The sequence below is a fragment of the Homo sapiens genome, chromosome 1, assembly GCF_000001405.40.
Source record: "Homo sapiens chromosome 1, GRCh38.p14 Primary Assembly".
Taxonomy (NCBI): Eukaryota; Metazoa; Chordata; class Mammalia; order Primates; family Hominidae; genus Homo; species Homo sapiens.
The window spans coordinates 19642846-19658992 of NC_000001.11; the positions used below are offsets into that span (position 1 = coordinate 19642846).

At 58.0% G+C, this 16147-nt stretch overlaps 2 protein-coding genes across 10 annotated transcripts in view, besides 5 other annotated features; both read left to right on the forward strand.

The window, feature by feature from the left end:
* MICOS10-NBL1 (MICOS10-NBL1 readthrough) overlaps positions 1-15607 on the forward strand; it is a 61474-nt gene extending 45867 nt beyond the window's left edge. For both annotated transcript variants that reach the window (NM_001204088.2, NM_001204089.2), the window contains 3 exons: positions 12167-12355; positions 12479-12590; positions 14021-15607. In NM_001204088.2, the coding sequence (NP_001191017.1) occupies positions 12167-12355; positions 12479-12590; positions 14021-14284 (565 nt within the window). In that variant the 3' untranslated portion in view covers positions 14285-15607. The remainder of the gene's footprint in view (positions 1-12166; positions 12356-12478; positions 12591-14020) is intronic.
* Positions 384-15607, forward strand: NBL1 (NBL1, DAN family BMP antagonist). 8 transcript variants are annotated; one of them, NM_182744.4, is made up of 4 exons: positions 384-552; positions 12167-12355; positions 12479-12590; positions 14021-15607. In NM_182744.4, the coding sequence occupies exons 1-4, from the start codon at positions 467-469 to the stop codon at positions 14282-14284; spliced, it is 651 nt and encodes a 216-aa protein (NP_877421.2). In that variant the 5' UTR covers positions 384-466; the 3' UTR covers positions 14285-15607. The 8 variants fall into 8 exon arrangements, with proteins under 8 accessions (NP_877421.2, NP_001265093.1, NP_001265094.1 ...); NM_001278164.2 differs by having other exon boundaries at positions 384-533; NM_001278165.2 differs by lacking the exon at positions 384-552 and adding an exon at positions 564-780.
* Positions 478-1313: an enhancer, noted in NCBI's record as "H3K27ac-H3K4me1 hESC enhancer chr1:19969817-19970652 (GRCh37/hg19 assembly coordinates)". NCBI's record gives its function as "activates a minimal SCP1, AML or CMV promoter by ChIP-STARR-seq in naive H9 embryonic stem cells {active_cell/tissue: H9 hESC(naive)}" and the evidence as "EXISTENCE:reporter gene assay evidence [ECO:0000049][PMID:30033119]".
* Positions 478-1551: a biological region, named in NCBI's record as "H3K27ac-H3K4me1 hESC enhancer GRCh37_chr1:19969817-19970652".
* Positions 1212-1551: a silencer, noted in NCBI's record as "silent region_358". NCBI's record gives its function as "represses an Ori minimal core promoter by ATAC-STARR-seq in GM12878 lymphoblastoid cells {active_cell/tissue: GM12878}" and the evidence as "EXISTENCE:reporter gene assay evidence [ECO:0000049][PMID:35858748]".
* Positions 7580-8197: an enhancer, noted in NCBI's record as "H3K4me1 hESC enhancer chr1:19976919-19977536 (GRCh37/hg19 assembly coordinates)". NCBI's record gives its function as "activates a minimal SCP1, AML or CMV promoter by ChIP-STARR-seq in naive H9 embryonic stem cells {active_cell/tissue: H9 hESC(naive)}" and the evidence as "EXISTENCE:reporter gene assay evidence [ECO:0000049][PMID:30033119]".
* Positions 11048-11187: a silencer, noted in NCBI's record as "silent region_359". NCBI's record gives its function as "represses an Ori minimal core promoter by ATAC-STARR-seq in GM12878 lymphoblastoid cells {active_cell/tissue: GM12878}" and the evidence as "EXISTENCE:reporter gene assay evidence [ECO:0000049][PMID:35858748]".
* Positions 15608-16147: the final 540 nt, after the last annotated feature.

Below are 16147 nucleotides of genomic sequence, written 5' to 3' on the forward strand. Positions count from 1 at the left end.
CACGATTCCTGCCCTCAAGGTCTAATGGAGGAAAGAGATGTACACAGCTATTCTAGAGGGAAATTGACATGAACAGAAGTTCTCATCCTGTGCTCCAGGATCACACTGGAGGAGGGAGATGCTCCCAGAGGGTCTTGGGAAGGCTTTCCAATCTGGAGCTGGAAGAATGTTTGCCCAAGAGATGTACACAGTTATTCTAGAGGGAAATTGACATGAACAGAAGTTCTCATCCTGTGCTCCAGGATCACACTGGAGGAGGGAGATGCTCCCAAAGGGTCTTGGGAAGGCTTTCCAATCTGGAGCTGGAAGAATGTTTGCCAGAGATGAAAGGAGGGGAAGGGAATTCCGGGCAGAGGGAAGGGCGCAGGCAACAGCTAGGAGGCGCAGATGCAGGCTGGGTGTGGAGGGTGCGAGTAGGCTGGAGTACACCAGGGAGTTCCCAGCAGGCCACTAGGAGCCACCCAGGATGCCCGGCAACCTCATGAGTCAGACAAGCAGGGCTGTGTCTATCTGGAAGTTTCCAGCCAAGCTAGGTAAAACACATGGACACAGGTAACTATGCTGTAAAGCAAAATCCCCAAGTCCTACAATCGTGTCCCAGTGGTGTCCCTGGGCCACCACTTTCCAGAAGCAAAGTTATTTTCTCACCCCGTTGTTAAGCACACAGAATAGAGAAGGTACGGCCGCAATCCACCCAAGTGCCCACTGATTAGATAGGAACCCCCGAGGTGAGGCTGGAAGCTGGGGCCAGGAGCTCCACTCTTCCCAGGAGTCAGAGAAGTGAGTTCATTTGCTGGCTTTTTAGTTCCTAATAAGTCCCTGGGGCTTTTCGGGATGCTTAAGCCAAGGGCGTGGGGCCGAGAGCGACACTAGGATAACACTAGGCAAGGCTGAGCAACCCAGGCTACCAACAGCACGGACTTGAACCGGGTCGCATGCCGGAGCGGACGGGATGAGGTGCACCGCAGAACTGGGGACTCCTGGTGCCGGGACGCGGCGGGCTGGGGCGCCCCACTCTCGGGGCAAGTCTGCAATGCCCGGTGCCCACAAAAAGGACACATCCATCTTTGTCACCCCGAGGCCTGGCACGGCCTGACGGCCCAGGCTCGGTAAAAGTCGGGCGGAGAGAGTGGAAGCGCAGAGAAACCCGGGGAGGGCGCTTAAGAACGGGCCAGGGCGCCCGGCTGGGCTGCCCTGCCTCTCGGGCGCCGGCCAGGCGTCCCGGCCGCCCCACCACGCCGTCGGAGCGCGCCGAAGCTCAGCCCGGGGCGGGCGGGCCAGGAGAGGGCCCGGGGCCCCTGCCGCCGCGGCGCCCCCTCCTGCGCACCCGGAGGGAGAGGCCGCGCGCGCCCGCCCGCTCTTTCTGCGCGCGGCCCTCCCCGCTGCCCCCGCCCTCGCGCCCTGTTTGGAGGGAGCCACCCTGACGTCGGAGCCGCTCCCCCGCGCCGCGCGCCCGCCCGGGGCCGCAGACAGCGCGCAGCGCAGCCCAGCCGAGCGTCGCGGGGCCGCCCCCCGCCCTGCCGGCCGCCTCGCCGAGCCTCCTGGGGCGCCCGGGCCCGCGACCCCCGCACCCAGCTCCGCAGGACCGGCGGGCGCGCGCGGTAAGTCCCGCCCGGGTCGGCACGCGGGCGCCCGGCTTCCAGAGGCTTCGGCCGCGGGGGCAGTGCCGCGCCCCCAGCCCGGAGCTGCGTCCCCCGGCGCGTCCGGCGGCCGCGGGCACCGGGTGGAGGCGCCGCCGCCGAGCTCAGGAGCCCTGGGGGACCTGGCGGGCGCCTCCGGACGCCGGCGCTGGGGACGTGGGCGCGGCACGGGGTGGCCGGGGGGCACCGCCGCGTCCGGAGCCCGTCCCCAGACTCGCCCCAGGGTTCCGTTTCTGGATCGGAGTTTCCGCGGCCGGGGGAGAGAGGGAGCGAGGGAGGGAGATGCGTGGCCGGGCGGGCCGGGCTCGCATGTCCCCCGGCCGTGCCCGGGCCTCGCCGCGCCGCGCCTCTCGGCTCTGGACGTTTCCGCCTCCCGCGGCCCCCTCTGCTTCGGTCCCCACGTCCGTGTGTCTGTCTCTCCGTCGCTCCGTTTCCGCCGCTCACTTTCCCCTGGTCTGCCCGTCTCTTTCCGTTCCCCGCCTGCCTCCGTGTTCGGCTGCCCGCGTTTGTGTCTCTGCCTCTGGCTTTTCTCTCCCTCTCTCTGTCTCTGCGCTGCCCTCTGTGGGGGTCTCGCCCTGTGTCTGCGCCTCTCCCTGATCCCCCGCCCTCCGATCCAGACAATCCCCCAGTGTCGGAGGCTCGCCTTCCCCCAGCGGGGTTCACGAATAGTTTCCTAGACCGGGTGCGGCAAACCCTCCCCCTGCCTCCCGCCGGCCCCGAGGCCTGGCCCGGGTCATCTCCCTGGAATTGAGTCTGGGGCAGGGAGAGCCAGCCTTTCCGGGGGCTCAGTTTTCTTAAGAATTCCACCCCCGCGAGGCCGGCTGGACGACAGGCCCTGCTGCGGGCCACCTGCCCGGCCCGCTCCCAGGGCGGGGCGATTCTGATCGTTTACAAGCGGCGGCAAAGGGGGCAGCCGCCTGCCTTGGCGTGGCCGGAGGTTGGCGGGCATCAAGGGAGAAAGCCACACTTCCAGGCTTTCGGAGGCCCTCGCTCCCCAAGCTGGACGCCACCAGCCTGTAACTAGGGGCACCCCAGGAAAACAGAGGTCAGGGCTGGAGGCCAAAGACCGGGCGCTGGCGGGGAAGCAATTTGTCAACAAGGAGCCCCTCACCCTTTGTTACTGCGGAATGGGGCCTCCCTAGACTCCCCCAGATGCTGGGGCTGCTTGGGCGTGGTTTGCCTTGAGTTGGGGCCAAAGAAAAGGCGAGGCTGCAGCGTTTCCTCGGTGACCCCTACCCCTCTCCACCCACCCCTGCAAGCTGGACCTCTCTCCCGGGCCTGTGTTTTGGAGGGGTGGACAGGGGAGTAGGTGTTCTGCATCGGCCAGGGATATCGCCTCATTATTTTAAAGTGAAATTTCAGGCTGAGTTTAGCTGCTTCCCCCCACCCACAACCTCAAGGGTCGGAGGCTGCCGGAGCGGGCAGGGTTGTTGGTGAGGTCTGCAGTGGAACTTCTGCTGAGCAGATGTGCAGCCTGGCCCTGCAGCAGCTCATTAGCATGGATTTGTTTTGGAGACTGTTTTTCGTTTGCGGGCAGGAGGGTCTGCGGTAAGGAGGGCCGTGGCCTGGGTTTGGGGGCTGGCACAGAGGTGGTCAGGGCTGGAAGATGCAGGCAGGCCTGGGTGGCACGGGGTCGGCCCTGTGTGTCCGCCCTCTGGACAGTTGACTCATGCTCTCCCCAGTGCTGAAGGAAGGAAGGAAAAGCCACCCTGCCGTGAGACTGGGGTCGTGGAATCACAGCGGCCTTAAGCAGTATGCTGGAGCCAGGCTCCTCCCTGGGGGATCTGCTGAAATGGACGTTCCCAGGCCAGGCTGCCCATTTTACAGATGCAAACGTGAAGCTGAGGGGGGAAGCAAATGGTCAGTGGCTCGAGCTATAACCATTAGACTCTCCTGACTCCAGGCACACAGAAAGCCAATGTATGAGCTTTGGCCAGAACTCATCCTCAAACCCCAGAGTGAGCCCAGGAAACCCGGTTGGGCTGACCAGAGCCGGGGCCTGACCTGGGTGAGCAGGGAGCCCCAAGCCTGACACTGCCTTGCCCCTTCACAGAGCAACAATTTCAGTTGCACCATTCAAGGAAGTCCCTGTGCTCATTTCAAGACCTGGAGCGATCGCCCCGCCCTTGCCAAGCCCCAAGCCTAGGGCTGCAGCCCAGCCACCCTCCACACCCTCTGCACCCAGCAGCATGCTCAGCCTGGCAGTGGGGCACAGCCTGTTTTCTTGAAGTTGGATTCTGGAGGAGGCTGGTGTCTCCACGACCCTGTCTTAGAGTCTGAGTGGGATCTTCCTCTCAGTTCCCACCTTAGATAGGGAATCATGTTGGGTGGCCCTTGACAATTTCTAAAATCCATTCCCAGCTGTCATCCCACTTGCTGGAGTTTCACCTCAAGGTTTTCCCTAAATCCAGTTTCACTGGGGCAGATGCAGCTCAGACTGAAATAGCCTCAGGACCTGCCGAGGATCCTGTGGGAGCGAGGGGCAGAAGGGAGCAGGCAGAGGCCAGGGAGGATAAGAGGCCCAAGCTAGCACTTAAAGTGACATGGACTGAGGAATTAACTATGATGGGCGATCTCTCCAGAGATTTCCATGTATTCTTCAGTTTAATTGTCACAGCTGTCCTGTGAGCTGGATATTAGCACTGTCCCCACTTTGCAGATGAGGAAACTGAGGTACAGAAAGGTTAGAATGGGGCCAAGTGATCCTAGTGCTTTGGGAGGCTGAAGTGGGAGTTCAAGACCAGCCTGGTCAACAAAGGGAGACCTTGTCTCTTCAAAAAATACAAAAAAATTAGCTGGGCATGGTGGTGTATGCCTGTACCACCAGCTATTCTGGAGGCTGAGGTGGGAGGATCACTTGAGCCCCAGAGTTTGAGGCTGATGTGAGCTATGATTGTGCCACCGCGCTCCAGCCTGGGTAACAGAGTGAGATCCTGTTACAAATAAAAACATAAAGATAAAAAGAGAAAGATTAGAATGGCTGAGCTAAGATTTGAACCCCAGTCTGTCATAATTGTGGAGAATGGAGGAGGAGAGCCAGACCCTGCCCTTAGTGAGTGTGGGGGGAGAGGAAAGGTGGGAGAGGCAGGGGAGGGGGAGCATCTGGTTTGAAAGCCACCAGCCACAAACGCTGCGTGCTCGTTGTGCATGCGGACTGTGGTGTCACCTGAATGCTGAGCCCACAGGTAGAATCGTCCGTCTCCATCAGCTGGGGCCAAGTGTGGGGAGGTTCCCCGAGGAGGTTCTGGAAGCAGGAGGTGAAGATGGGGAGGGAGAGCCCTGCCCTTTCCACCGAGGATTTGTCAGCCCTGCCCTCCACGGCTCTGCACCGAGTGGTTGCTGGAACCGGTAACAGGAAAGGCCTGGTGTGTGTGTGTGTGCGTGTGTGTGTGTGTGTGCGTGTGCGCGCGTGTGTGTGCGTGCTTGTGCGGATGTACATTTTCTTGTGCATATATAGGCATGCTTATATATGCGTCTGTGTGTTCTGCGTTCATAGGGGGCACAGGTGGTTTGGGGTATGCCTGCTTTTGTGTGTGTGTGGGTCTGGGGTGAGTGGATACACTCTACCTTGAAAATCCTGGTATATCTGGCCTTGAGTGACCTTGAATATTCAGACTTAACCCAGAAGAGGAATTGGGGAGGATGGTTCACTTGTTATACCAAAGCTAATCCACTCTACAAAGGGTTTCACGGTGGGCGGGAGTCAGGAAGAAGTAAGTGTTCCTTGAAATCTAGGCCACTCCTGTGTATTTAGGGTGCATTTAGGATGCCTTTCCAGGTACCGGAATCCAGGCAGTGGGCTGGGGGGCCTCAGTGGCAGCGTTGTTAATCGAAGCCCCTTTCCTGGGGGCTGGGAGGCCGTTGCTCCTGGCCTGGCTGGGCCTCAGAGTCCCGTGGGGAGCACATTCAGGTGCCCAGGCCGTGCCTCATACCTGGCGGGGTCACACGAGGAGGGCCGGGCCCCGGCGTCTCAGTTTTGGCAGGCATCTCAGGAAAGAGGTGTCACAGGCCTGACCCCGGAGCTGGCCTTCCTGGGGGACCCTCTGGACCAAGACTTTCAGGAAAGCAACCAGGGCAGGGCTGCTGTGTTTGTTCCCTGCCCTCTTCCCCGGAGTGGGAGCTACGGGTGGGTCACTTCCTTGACCTGTGCCTCAGTTTCCACGGTGCCAAAATGGGTCTGCTGTTGTCACCTCCTGGGGAATTTCCTTTCTGTGTGGGCGGCAGCTCAGAATGTACCAGGCATTGGCAGAGGGCCGCTGAGGAAGTGGAGGGCTTGGATTTGGGAGTGGCGGGTGGGTGGGGTTGGGAAGACACTCACCTGTGCCAAGGACACCTCCTTTAAAGCCTCACGGCGCCCCCATGAGGGAGGATCGTGTCACACATACCTTTACCAGGGCTCCAAGAGCCAGGGTCAGCCATGGCCACAAGACGGTTGGCTAGGGAGTCAGGAATGGGATTTGAACTCTGGTCTGTGGAGCCCCCAAGCTTCCAGTCCAGGCAGTGGCTGAACGCTAGGGTGTTAACAGGAATGAGAGGCGCAGTCGGCTGGGGCAGTGGTGGGAGCTCCAGGCCTCATCCTGACTCCAGATTCCATCGTTTCTTGCTTCTTTCTCTTCGGTGAACCTTTTGACCTGCAAGGGTAGCTGGGGGTTAACCTGCTACCCTCCAGGTTCAAATCCCGGTTCTCCTGTTTACTAACAGTGTAAGCCCAAGCAGATTTCTTGGCCTCTCTGTGCCTCAGTTTCTTCATCTAAAAATGGGGGAAAGAATAGGATCAGGCAGTTATCATAGGACAGAATAAATTAATATCCAGTCACACACCACACAATGATGAACCACGTACACAATGGTGCTGCCATAAAATTATTATTATTATTATTATTATTATTTTGAGATGAAGTCTCGCTCTGTCCCCCAGGCTGGAGTGCAGTGGTGCAATCTTGGCTCACTGCAACCTCTGCCTCCCGGGTTCAAGTGATTCTCCTGCCTCAGCCTCCTGAGTAGCTGGGACTACAGGCATGTGCCACCACACCCGGCTAGTTTTTGTATTTTTAGTAGAGACGGGGTTTCGCCATGTTGGCCAGGCTGGTCTCGAACTCCTGACCTCAAGTGATCTGCCACCTCGATCTCCCAAAATGCTGGGATTACAGGCGTGAGCCACTGCGCCTGGCCTCCCATAGAATTATAATACTGTATTTTTACTACACCTTTTCTTTCTTTCATGATTGTGTAGTGGCATGATCCTGGCTCACTGCAGCCTCAACCTCCCAGGACCGAGTGATCCTCTCACCTCAGCCTCCCAAGTAGCTGGGACCACAGGCATGCACCACCACACCTGGCTAGTTTTTAAATTTTTGTAGAGATGGGATCGTCTTATGTTGCCCAGGCTGGTCTTGAATTCCTGAGCTCAAGCAATTCTCTCACCTTGGCCTCCCAAAGTGCTGGGATTACAGGTGTGAGCCACCATGCTTAGCCTACTTTACGTTTTCTTTTCTTTTCTTTTCTTTGAGACAGAGTCTCGCTTTGTCGCCCAGGCTGGAGTGCAGTGGCGTGATCTCGGCTCACTGCAAGCTCCGCCTCCCGGGTTCACGCCATTCTCCTGCCTCAGCCTCCGTGTGTGTTACAGTGACCTACAGTATTTAGTACAGTCACATGTGGTCCAGATTTGTAGCCTAGGAGCAATGGGCTATGCCATATAGCCTAGGTTTGTAATAGCCTAGACTATTCAGGTTTGAGTTCACTCTATCACCTAATGGCACATTTCTCAGAGTGCATCCCCATGGCTAACTGACGCATGACTATAGTTGCGCTCTTATATTTAGTTCAGAATTCAGAACCTCTGCTTCCCTCCTGAGAGCCATCTCTGACTGTGCCAACTCAAAACAACTGCCCCCTATTTACCCACATCCCTGGACCTCCCCTCAGGGGAGTGTCTGAGTGGGCATAGGGTCTGTGCCCCCAGCTCCCTGCCCTCACCCTTGCCTTTCTCCCCACCCTCCTAGAAGTGAGTGAGTGTGGAACTGCAGGGCCCTGAACGGCCCAGGGCAGGGCATTGCTTTGCCTGACTTGCTGGGGGCCTTGGGACAGCCCCTTGCAGAGCAGGGAGACTTGGCTGGGAGATCTCCAACTTTCCTTCCCGCCCTCGCTTTTGGGGAGTCCCATGACTTGCTGTGTGACCTTCAGGGCGGGAGGAAGGGTTGAGAATCTGGGTGAGGCTCTCAAGGCTCAGGAAGGAAAGTACGATCGCTGCTTAAAAAAAAAAAATAGATTAGTTGCTGCTTGAAAAAACAAAAAAGCGTAAACCAACAAAAAAGCATAAACCAACAAAAAAAGAAAACCTGCTAGCCAAGAGCCCACCCCACCGGTGGGGGCAGCCTGGGCTCTTCGGGGCTGGGCAGGAGGGTGGGCGGAGGCAGGTGTGTCTGGATGACAGCCGTGTGTGGGAGAGACTTCATCTGGCATCCTCGCTGCCTCCTGTTCCAGCCCAGCCTTGGCTCTGATGCTGGCCCAGCCTTTCCCATGATCCCCTGGGGGGAAGAGAGCTGACCTTAGTGGGTGCCTCCTAGGTGCTGAGTACCTTCATTTACTCCTCCCAATTCTTCTCCAGGGAAGGTGCAATGCTTCCCATGTTAGGGTTGAGAAAGGCAGTTTCTGAGGAGTGAACTTATTTCTGGAGTCACACAGCTCCTAAGGGGAGGGGCTGCAGTTCAAACACTGGGGACTCCAGGGTCCACGCTTCCAGGGGGAGCCCGGGGAAAATGCTGGAGCTCCACGCTGCTGGCCCGGGGAGGCCGAGGCCCCAGCGCCCTGCGGAGAGCCTGCTAGGGCCTGGTGGGTTGGGTTATAGCACCCCTCTGTGGACACAGCTGGCCCTGTGATAACCTCAGCTGTGCACTGGAAAGGGTGGAAGGTAAGGAGGGGGCCTTCTGCCTCAGTTCGTCTCATTTCTCCTAACCTCTGTCCCAGCCTGACGCTGATAACCAGTTCCTGATCTCTGGGCCTGCAACCTCTTCCAAAAAGTCACCATTACCCCATTTCCCAGTAAGCCTCCATTAGCCTCAACCCCAGTCTCAACACTCGGCTTCAGCCTAGTTGTGACCCACAGCCTCGGTTGTGACCTCTCCTAATTCCAACTCCAAGTGCTCACCCCAGCCTCCCTCCCTCCCTCTGTCCCTCCCTCCCTGCCTCCCTCCCTCTTTTCTTTCCTGTCCTTTTTTTCCCTTTCCTTTTTGACAGGTTCTTGCTCTGTCACCCAGTCTGGAGTGCAGGGACGCAATCATGGCTCACTGCAGCCCCAAGCCTGGTCTCAAGCCATCCTCCCGCCTCAGCTTCCCACATAGCTGGACTACAGGTGCACATCACAATGCATAATGTGATAATAAAAAATGTGTTATCACAGTGTGATAATAAAAAAATATTTTATTTTATTTTATTTTATTTTGAGACCAAGTCTCACTTTGCTTCCCAGGCTAGTCTTGGACTCCTGAGTTCAAGTGGTCCTCCCGCTTTGGCCTCCCAAAGTGCTAGAATTACAGGTGTGAGCCACCATGCCTGGCCCAGGCTACTTGCATTACAACCCCAGTCTCAATTCCAAATCCACATCACTTTCTGCCCCAGTCACCTCCCTGGCCCCCTGTGACCTGTTGTTCCTGAGGAAGCAAGATGGGGTCAGATATAGGAGGACAAGAGTCCCTGGACCTCTCCTAAGGGTCTAGGGGGCCAGTCCAGCCCAGGGAGCCCTGGCCTTAAATGGACCTCCAGGACCCTTCAGGTGTGCTGTGGGCAGACCTGACTCAGGAGTGAGGAAGCCGCCTGCATGCCAGGCTTGTTGAAAAATTCACTGGGTTGCCAGTTAGGGAGGAATCCATTCTATTTTGTTAGGATGTGGTTGTACTGGAAACATGGGCTTTGTCAGCAAGACCGGAAATGCGTGGGTGAGGGCCTGGATCGTGACAGGAACTCATTTGGGAGGCGGCGGGGGGGCAGCCTGTCCGACCTCACTTCCAGCTGCCCTTCCTCCCCAGTGGGCTGGGAGTGGGGCTTATCCCGGCATTGGGGTCCCCTGAGATGGAGACCTGCAGGAGAGGGGCAGGAGCTGGGGGAACTTGCTGGATGGGGAGCGGAGTGCTTGGAGGGGTTCACAGCCCTGCAGGAGCCCCACTCAGCCAGCCCACCTCTAGACCCGTGCTCCCCAGACACTTTATAAAGTACTTGGCTCTGGGCTGGGTGCAGTGGCTCACACCTGTAATCCCAGCACCTTGGGAGGCCGAGGTGGGCAGATCACTTGAGGTCAGGAGTTTGAGACCAGCCTGGCCAACCTGGTGAAACCCCATCTCTACTAAAAATACAAAAATCAGCCAGGTGTGGTGGCGAATGCCTGTAATTCCAGCTATTCTGGAGGCTGAGGCAGGAGAATCACTTGAACCCGGGAGGCGGAGGTTGCAGTGAGCCAAGATCATGCCATGACACTCCAGCCTGGGCGACAGAGTGAGACTCTGTCTCAAAAAAATAGATAAGTAAGGCCGGGCGCAGTGGCTCACACCTGTAATCCCAGCACTTTGGGAGGCTGAGGCGGGCGGATCACGAGGTCAGGAGATCGAGACCATCCTGGCTAACACGGTGAAACCCCGTCTCTACTGAAAATACAAAAAATTAGTGGGGCATGGTGGTGGGCGCCTGCAGTCCCAGCTACACGGGAGGCTGAGGCAGGAGAAGGCGTGAACCCAGGAGGCGGAGCTTGCAGTGAGCAGAGATCGTGCCACTGCACTCCAGCCTGGGCAACAGAGCGAGACTCCGTCTCAAAAAAAAAAAAAAAAAAAAAGTACCTGGCTTTGCCATCTCCATGGCCCATGGTAGGATTGTCCTAAATGGGATGCCCAGTCCCAAGCCACCTGACTCCTGGTGCTGGGCTTCTGTGGGGCCACTGGGACCAGGACTTGTCCCCTCTTCCTCCTGATTTAGCCTCATCCAGGCCCCTCTAGGGACTGTCCCAAGGTAAAGAATCCCTGACTGAGCGCATAGCTGCCTAGGAAGCCTGATCAAAACGCAGACTCCTACCCACCCTAGAACTTTTACTCCACAAGTTCCTAGGGAATTCTGATCAAATTTCAGGTTTGGGAACCACTGGCCTGGCTCACTGCACTCATTTTACAGGTGGTGGGGAAACAGGTCTGAGTGTCCCGGTCACCCAGCACACGTGGACCCATGCCCTTTCTCGGCTGTGCCGTCCTCCGAGGGTTTGGGGGCCTCCTTGAAGAAGGCACTGCCCTCATCTCTGAAGCCTCCCTCTCCCGTGCTTTTTGCACTGGGGGGCATGGGTGAAACTTACCTGGGGCGAGTCTCCTGAAAGCGGAATCCTTTGACACAGACTGCCCTGCAGCGCCACCTTTTGGCAGATCCTGGTATTGTTTTAGTATCTCACTCCATCCTATAGCAGGGGAATTTGCAAATGGCCAAGTGCTTAGCTTTGATTGGCTCCCGCTTGACTCACGTGTTAGAATGGGGCTGGGGACAGTGATCTGTGTAGAGCCCTTGTGGATTCGAGTTTCTGGTGAGGCATCTTAGAGAACAATACTGTCTGGTTCAGGGTCAGTTTTTTTGCCTGAGGTCTGGCCAGCCAAGGTGGCCCAGGAATTCACTGCAGGCCAGGTGCGGTGGCTCACGCCTGTAATCCCAGCACTTTGGAATGCTGAAGCAGGAAGATCGCTTGAGCCCCAGGAGTTTGAGACCAGCCTGGGCAACACGGCGAAACCTGGTCTTTACAGAAATTAGCCAGGTGTGGTGGCGGACGCCTGTAGTCCCAGCAACTCGGGAGGCTGAGGTGGGAGGATCACCTGAGCCCAGGGAAGTCGAGGCTTCAGTGAGCCGTGATCATGCCACTGCACTCCAGCGTGGGTGACCGAGTGAGATCTTTTCTCAAAAAACAAAACCAAAAAGAAATCACAGCAACGTGAAGGTTAAGGCTAACTTTTCAAACATCAGAATCCTGACAATGGTTGCAGTAGCTTTCAAGGAGACATGGTGTGTGGCCAGCCCCTCCAGGGCTGTGTGGACAGCTTTTTGTGTATTTTCCTGGGTGACTCACAGCATCAAAGGGAGAAAGGAGGTAGTAATTGTTCAGCACTTGACATGTGCTTGAACACTTCGTAATCGCAATCCTGTGCCAGGCAGTGGCACCATCTCCCCTTTTTAGATGAAGAAACCGAGGCACCGAGATAAAAAGTAACTTGCTCAAGGCAATTTAGGAAGTTGTAAAACCAACCAACACATATGGAATGTGTATTATCTGCTAGGCTCATTTAATATCTCATCTGACCTTCCAGATACCCATCTGATGTAGGTACCACTCCCAGCTCCAATTGTGAGATTCAGAGGGGAGAAATAACTTGTCCAAAGTTGCACTTGGTTAGTAAGTGGGAGAGCTGGGGTTGCGCCAAGGAGTCGGATGCCAGAGTCCATGCTGTAACACCACTACCCGGCCCCCTGCACCTTGCTGTGCCTCACCTGGCACCTGTGCTCCGTTCTAGGGCTCTGGAGGCCACGGGCATGATGCTTCGGGTCCTGGTGGGGGCTGTCCTCCCTGCCATGCTACTGGCTGCCCCACCACCCATCAACAAGCTGGCACTGTTCCCAGATAAGAGTGCCTGGTGCGAAGCCAAGAACATCACCCAGATCGTGGGCCACAGCGGCTGTGAGGCCAAGTCCATCCAGAACAGGTGGGACCCAAGGGGTGGGTGGGGGGATGCGGACAGGGGTCCAAGGAGGGAGGAAGAGGACCAGGGCTGCCCATCCCTGCCTCCCCAACAGTGACACAGGCATGGTGACCTCTCCTCCCACAGGGCGTGCCTAGGACAGTGCTTCAGCTACAGCGTCCCCAACACCTTCCCACAGTCCACAGAGTCCCTGGTTCACTGTGACTCCTGCATGCCAGCCCAGTCCATGTGGGAGATTGTGAGTACTGCCTGCCTGCCCCACCCAGTCTCGGCCCGGAGCCTGCCCCAGCCTTGGCCTTTCTCCCCAGGCTCCTGTATTCCAGCAGATGGCCACAGGGCCTTAGAAAGGCCCCACTGTGTGCAGGGTGAAGGGCTTGTGCTGGGGATACAAATGTGGGCCTCCCCACAGGATGGCTCAGAAGTCTGACACCAACTTGTACAGGACAGGGATGTTCCCGAAGTTCCATTCTGATGTCTCTCATGGGCTGAAGTCCTTTCAGGGGCTTCCTGTTGTTATAGGATGAGACCAAAATCTTTGCCCTGTCCCGAGAACCTGGCATGGCCTGGCTCAGTGGCCTTTCCAGCCTCCTCCTGCTTCCTGCCTTCCTTAGTAGCTTGACGCTTAACACAGCCACCTTCTTTCAGTGCCTCGCACCTGCTCCGTTCGCTTCTACCCCAGGGCCCTTGCACCTGTTCTTTTCCCTGCTTGGAACACCACCTCTGTCCCCTTTCTCTAGTTCACTTCTATTCATTCTTCTGCCCTTGGCCCAAGCAGCGTTTCCTCAGGGCCCCTTTCCAGGCCCCCTGACTGGGGCACACCCTGGTACCGTTGGCTCTCAGAGCACAGTATGCCTCCGCTTCAAGCACCTTTCACACCTGCAGTCTTCCACCTGCATCCGGGTGATTTTGACAGATCTGTTTCCCCCACTAGACTCTGATTTCCTTGAAGGAAATGTGTCTTTGTGTCCCCAGAGCTGGCACAGGGTAGGCGCTCTGTGGAAGGGAGGAAGGAAGAGAGGAAGGGAGGGAGAAGGAAAAAAGGTACTTAGATGGGTGATGATAGGGGCAGAGTAGGAGGTAGATGGGGTTCCTGCAGGGTGAGCCTCAGCTGGGCTGGGCTTTGGGGTGGGGCTCTTTTGAGGAAGTGAAGTCTGAGCTCAGACCCAAAGGCGCAGTTTAGGGCATGTGGTAGTCGGCGGGGATAGGGGGGTGGGTGGGGGGAACCTTCCAGGCAAAGGGAACAGCATGTGCGGAGTCCCTGAGGCAGAGCCCAAGCACAGGATTGGTAAGAGTGGTGCAGGGTCAGGGGTAGGGGGGCCAGCCAGCTGGTGGCACCTGAAGGTCCTGGGTGGCCTTAGTGAGGGGTCAGGGTTTGTCTCCAAGTGCAGGGGGATCGCGGCGGTGGGGGCGATTTTAGCAGGGGCAGGCCACACTGGTGGCTGCTGGTGGGGAATGGGTGGGAAGGTGGCAGGACTGGATGTGAGGAGACAGCTCTGGTGGCTTGTGCAGGGGTTCAATTTCCCCCTCCCCATGGGACCCCAGAGCTAACTGGGCATCACAGGTGGGCTCTGGGATTCTTGATCCCATGAGGAAGTATTACCCTAGGGGCTGCCTTGCCTGCCCCAGACCTTTGGGAACATGCCTCTGCTTCTCTCTTGCCCTCTGCAGGTGACGCTGGAGTGCCCGGGCCACGAGGAGGTGCCCAGGGTGGACAAGCTGGTGGAGAAGATCCTGCACTGTAGCTGCCAGGCCTGCGGCAAGGAGCCTAGTCACGAGGGGCTGAGCGTCTATGTGCAGGGCGAGGACGGGCCGGGATCCCAGCCCGGCACCCACCCTCACCCCCATCCCCACCCCCATCCTGGCGGGCAGACCCCTGAGCCCGAGGACCCCCCTGGGGCCCCCCACACAGAGGAAGAGGGGGCTGAGGACTGAGGCCCCCCCAACTCTTCCTCCCCTCTCATCCCCCTGTGGAATGTTGGGTCTCACTCTCTGGGGAAGTCAGGGGAGAAGCTGAAGCCCCCCTTTGGCACTGGATGGACTTGGCTTCAGACTCGGACTTGAATGCTGCCCGGTTGCCATGGAGATCTGAAGGGGCGGGGTTAGAGCCAAGCTGCACAATTTAATATATTCAAGAGTGGGGGGAGGAAGCAGAGGTCTTCAGGGCTCTTTTTTTGGGGGGGGTGGTCTCTTCCTGTCTGGCTTCTAGAGATGTGCCTGTGGGAGGGGGAGGAAGTTGGCTGAGCCATTGAGTGCTGGGGGAGGCCATCCAAGATGGCATGAATCGGGCTAAGGTCCCTGGGGGTGCAGATGGTACTGCTGAGGTCCCGGGCTTAGTGTGAGCATCTTGCCAGCCTCAGGCTTGAGGGAGGGCTGGGCTAGAAAGACCACTGGCAGAAACAGGAGGCTCCGGCCCACAGGTTTCCCCAAGGCCTCTCACCCCACTTCCCATCTCCAGGGAAGCGTCGCCCCAGTGGCACTGAAGTGGCCCTCCCTCAGCGGAGGGGTTTGGGAGTCAGGCCTGGGCAGGACCCTGCTGACTCGTGGCGCGGGAGCTGGGAGCCAGGCTCTCCGGGCCTTTCTCTGGCTTCCTTGGCTTGCCTGGTGGGGGAAGGGGAGGAGGGGAAGAAGGAAAGGGAAGAGTCTTCCAAGGCCAGAAGGAGGGGGACAACCCCCCAAGACCATCCCTGAAGACGAGCATCCCCCTCCTCTCCCTGTTAGAAATGTTAGTGCCCCGCACTGTGCCCCAAGTTCTAGGCCCCCCAGAAAGCTGCCAGAGCCGGCCGCCTTCTCCCCTCTCCCAGGGATGCTCTTTGTAAATATCGGATGGGTGTGGGAGTGAGGGGTTACCTCCCTCGCCCCAAGGTTCCAGAGGCCCTAGGCGGGATGGGCTCGCTGAACCTCGAGGAACTCCAGGACGAGGAGGACATGGGACTTGCGTGGACAGTCAGGGTTCACTTGGGCTCTCTCTAGCTCCCCAATTCTGCCTGCCTCCTCCCTCCCAGCTGCACTTTAACCCTAGAAGGTGGGGACCTGGGGGGAGGGACAGGGCAGGCGGGCCCATGAAGAAAGCCCCTCGTTGCCCAGCACTGTCTGCGTCTGCTCTTCTGTGCCCAGGGTGGCTGCCAGCCCACTGCCTCCTGCCTGGGGTGGCCTGGCCCTCCTGGCTGTTGCGACGCGGGCTTCTGGAGCTTGTCACCATTGGACAGTCTCCCTGATGGACCCTCAGTCTTCTCATGAATAAATTCCTTCAACGCCTGTGTTCTCCTCCTCACTGACTGGCTCTGCCGACCCAGGTTCTCCAGAAGTGCCGGCAGCGAGGCCCAGAGGCAGCAGGGCCTGGGCTCGGGCAGTGGGGTGCTGAGCAGGCCTGCCTGGCCCCCACGCGGCACCACTGTCTCTGCATCCTTGTGGCCCTCTCCCTGTCTTGCCCTGTGCACCCCTGGCTCCTGATCCTCTGTCTCCCCAGCTTTCATGTCTTTCCTTGGGTGCCAGTTTCTGGCCTCGCATACACCTTGGGTGGGCCTCCAGAACTGGGCTTCATGGATTTTGGCCCCTGGTCTTGTGGGCTTGCCTCATGCCATCTCTTCACCCACACAATGGCCCAGGATCAGCCCTTGCCTGGGCCTGGCCTGCCTGGCCCCCTGGGAGAAGGGGAAACAGACAAAAGTATTGGTTACAGATTAATATATAAGGCTGGGCCCTGTGCAGGGTCCTCGCCCAGTCCGCACCACCTCCCAGTGATGCGGATATTGTCCTCAATTTGTAGATGAGGCATCTGAAGAGCAGGTGCTAGTA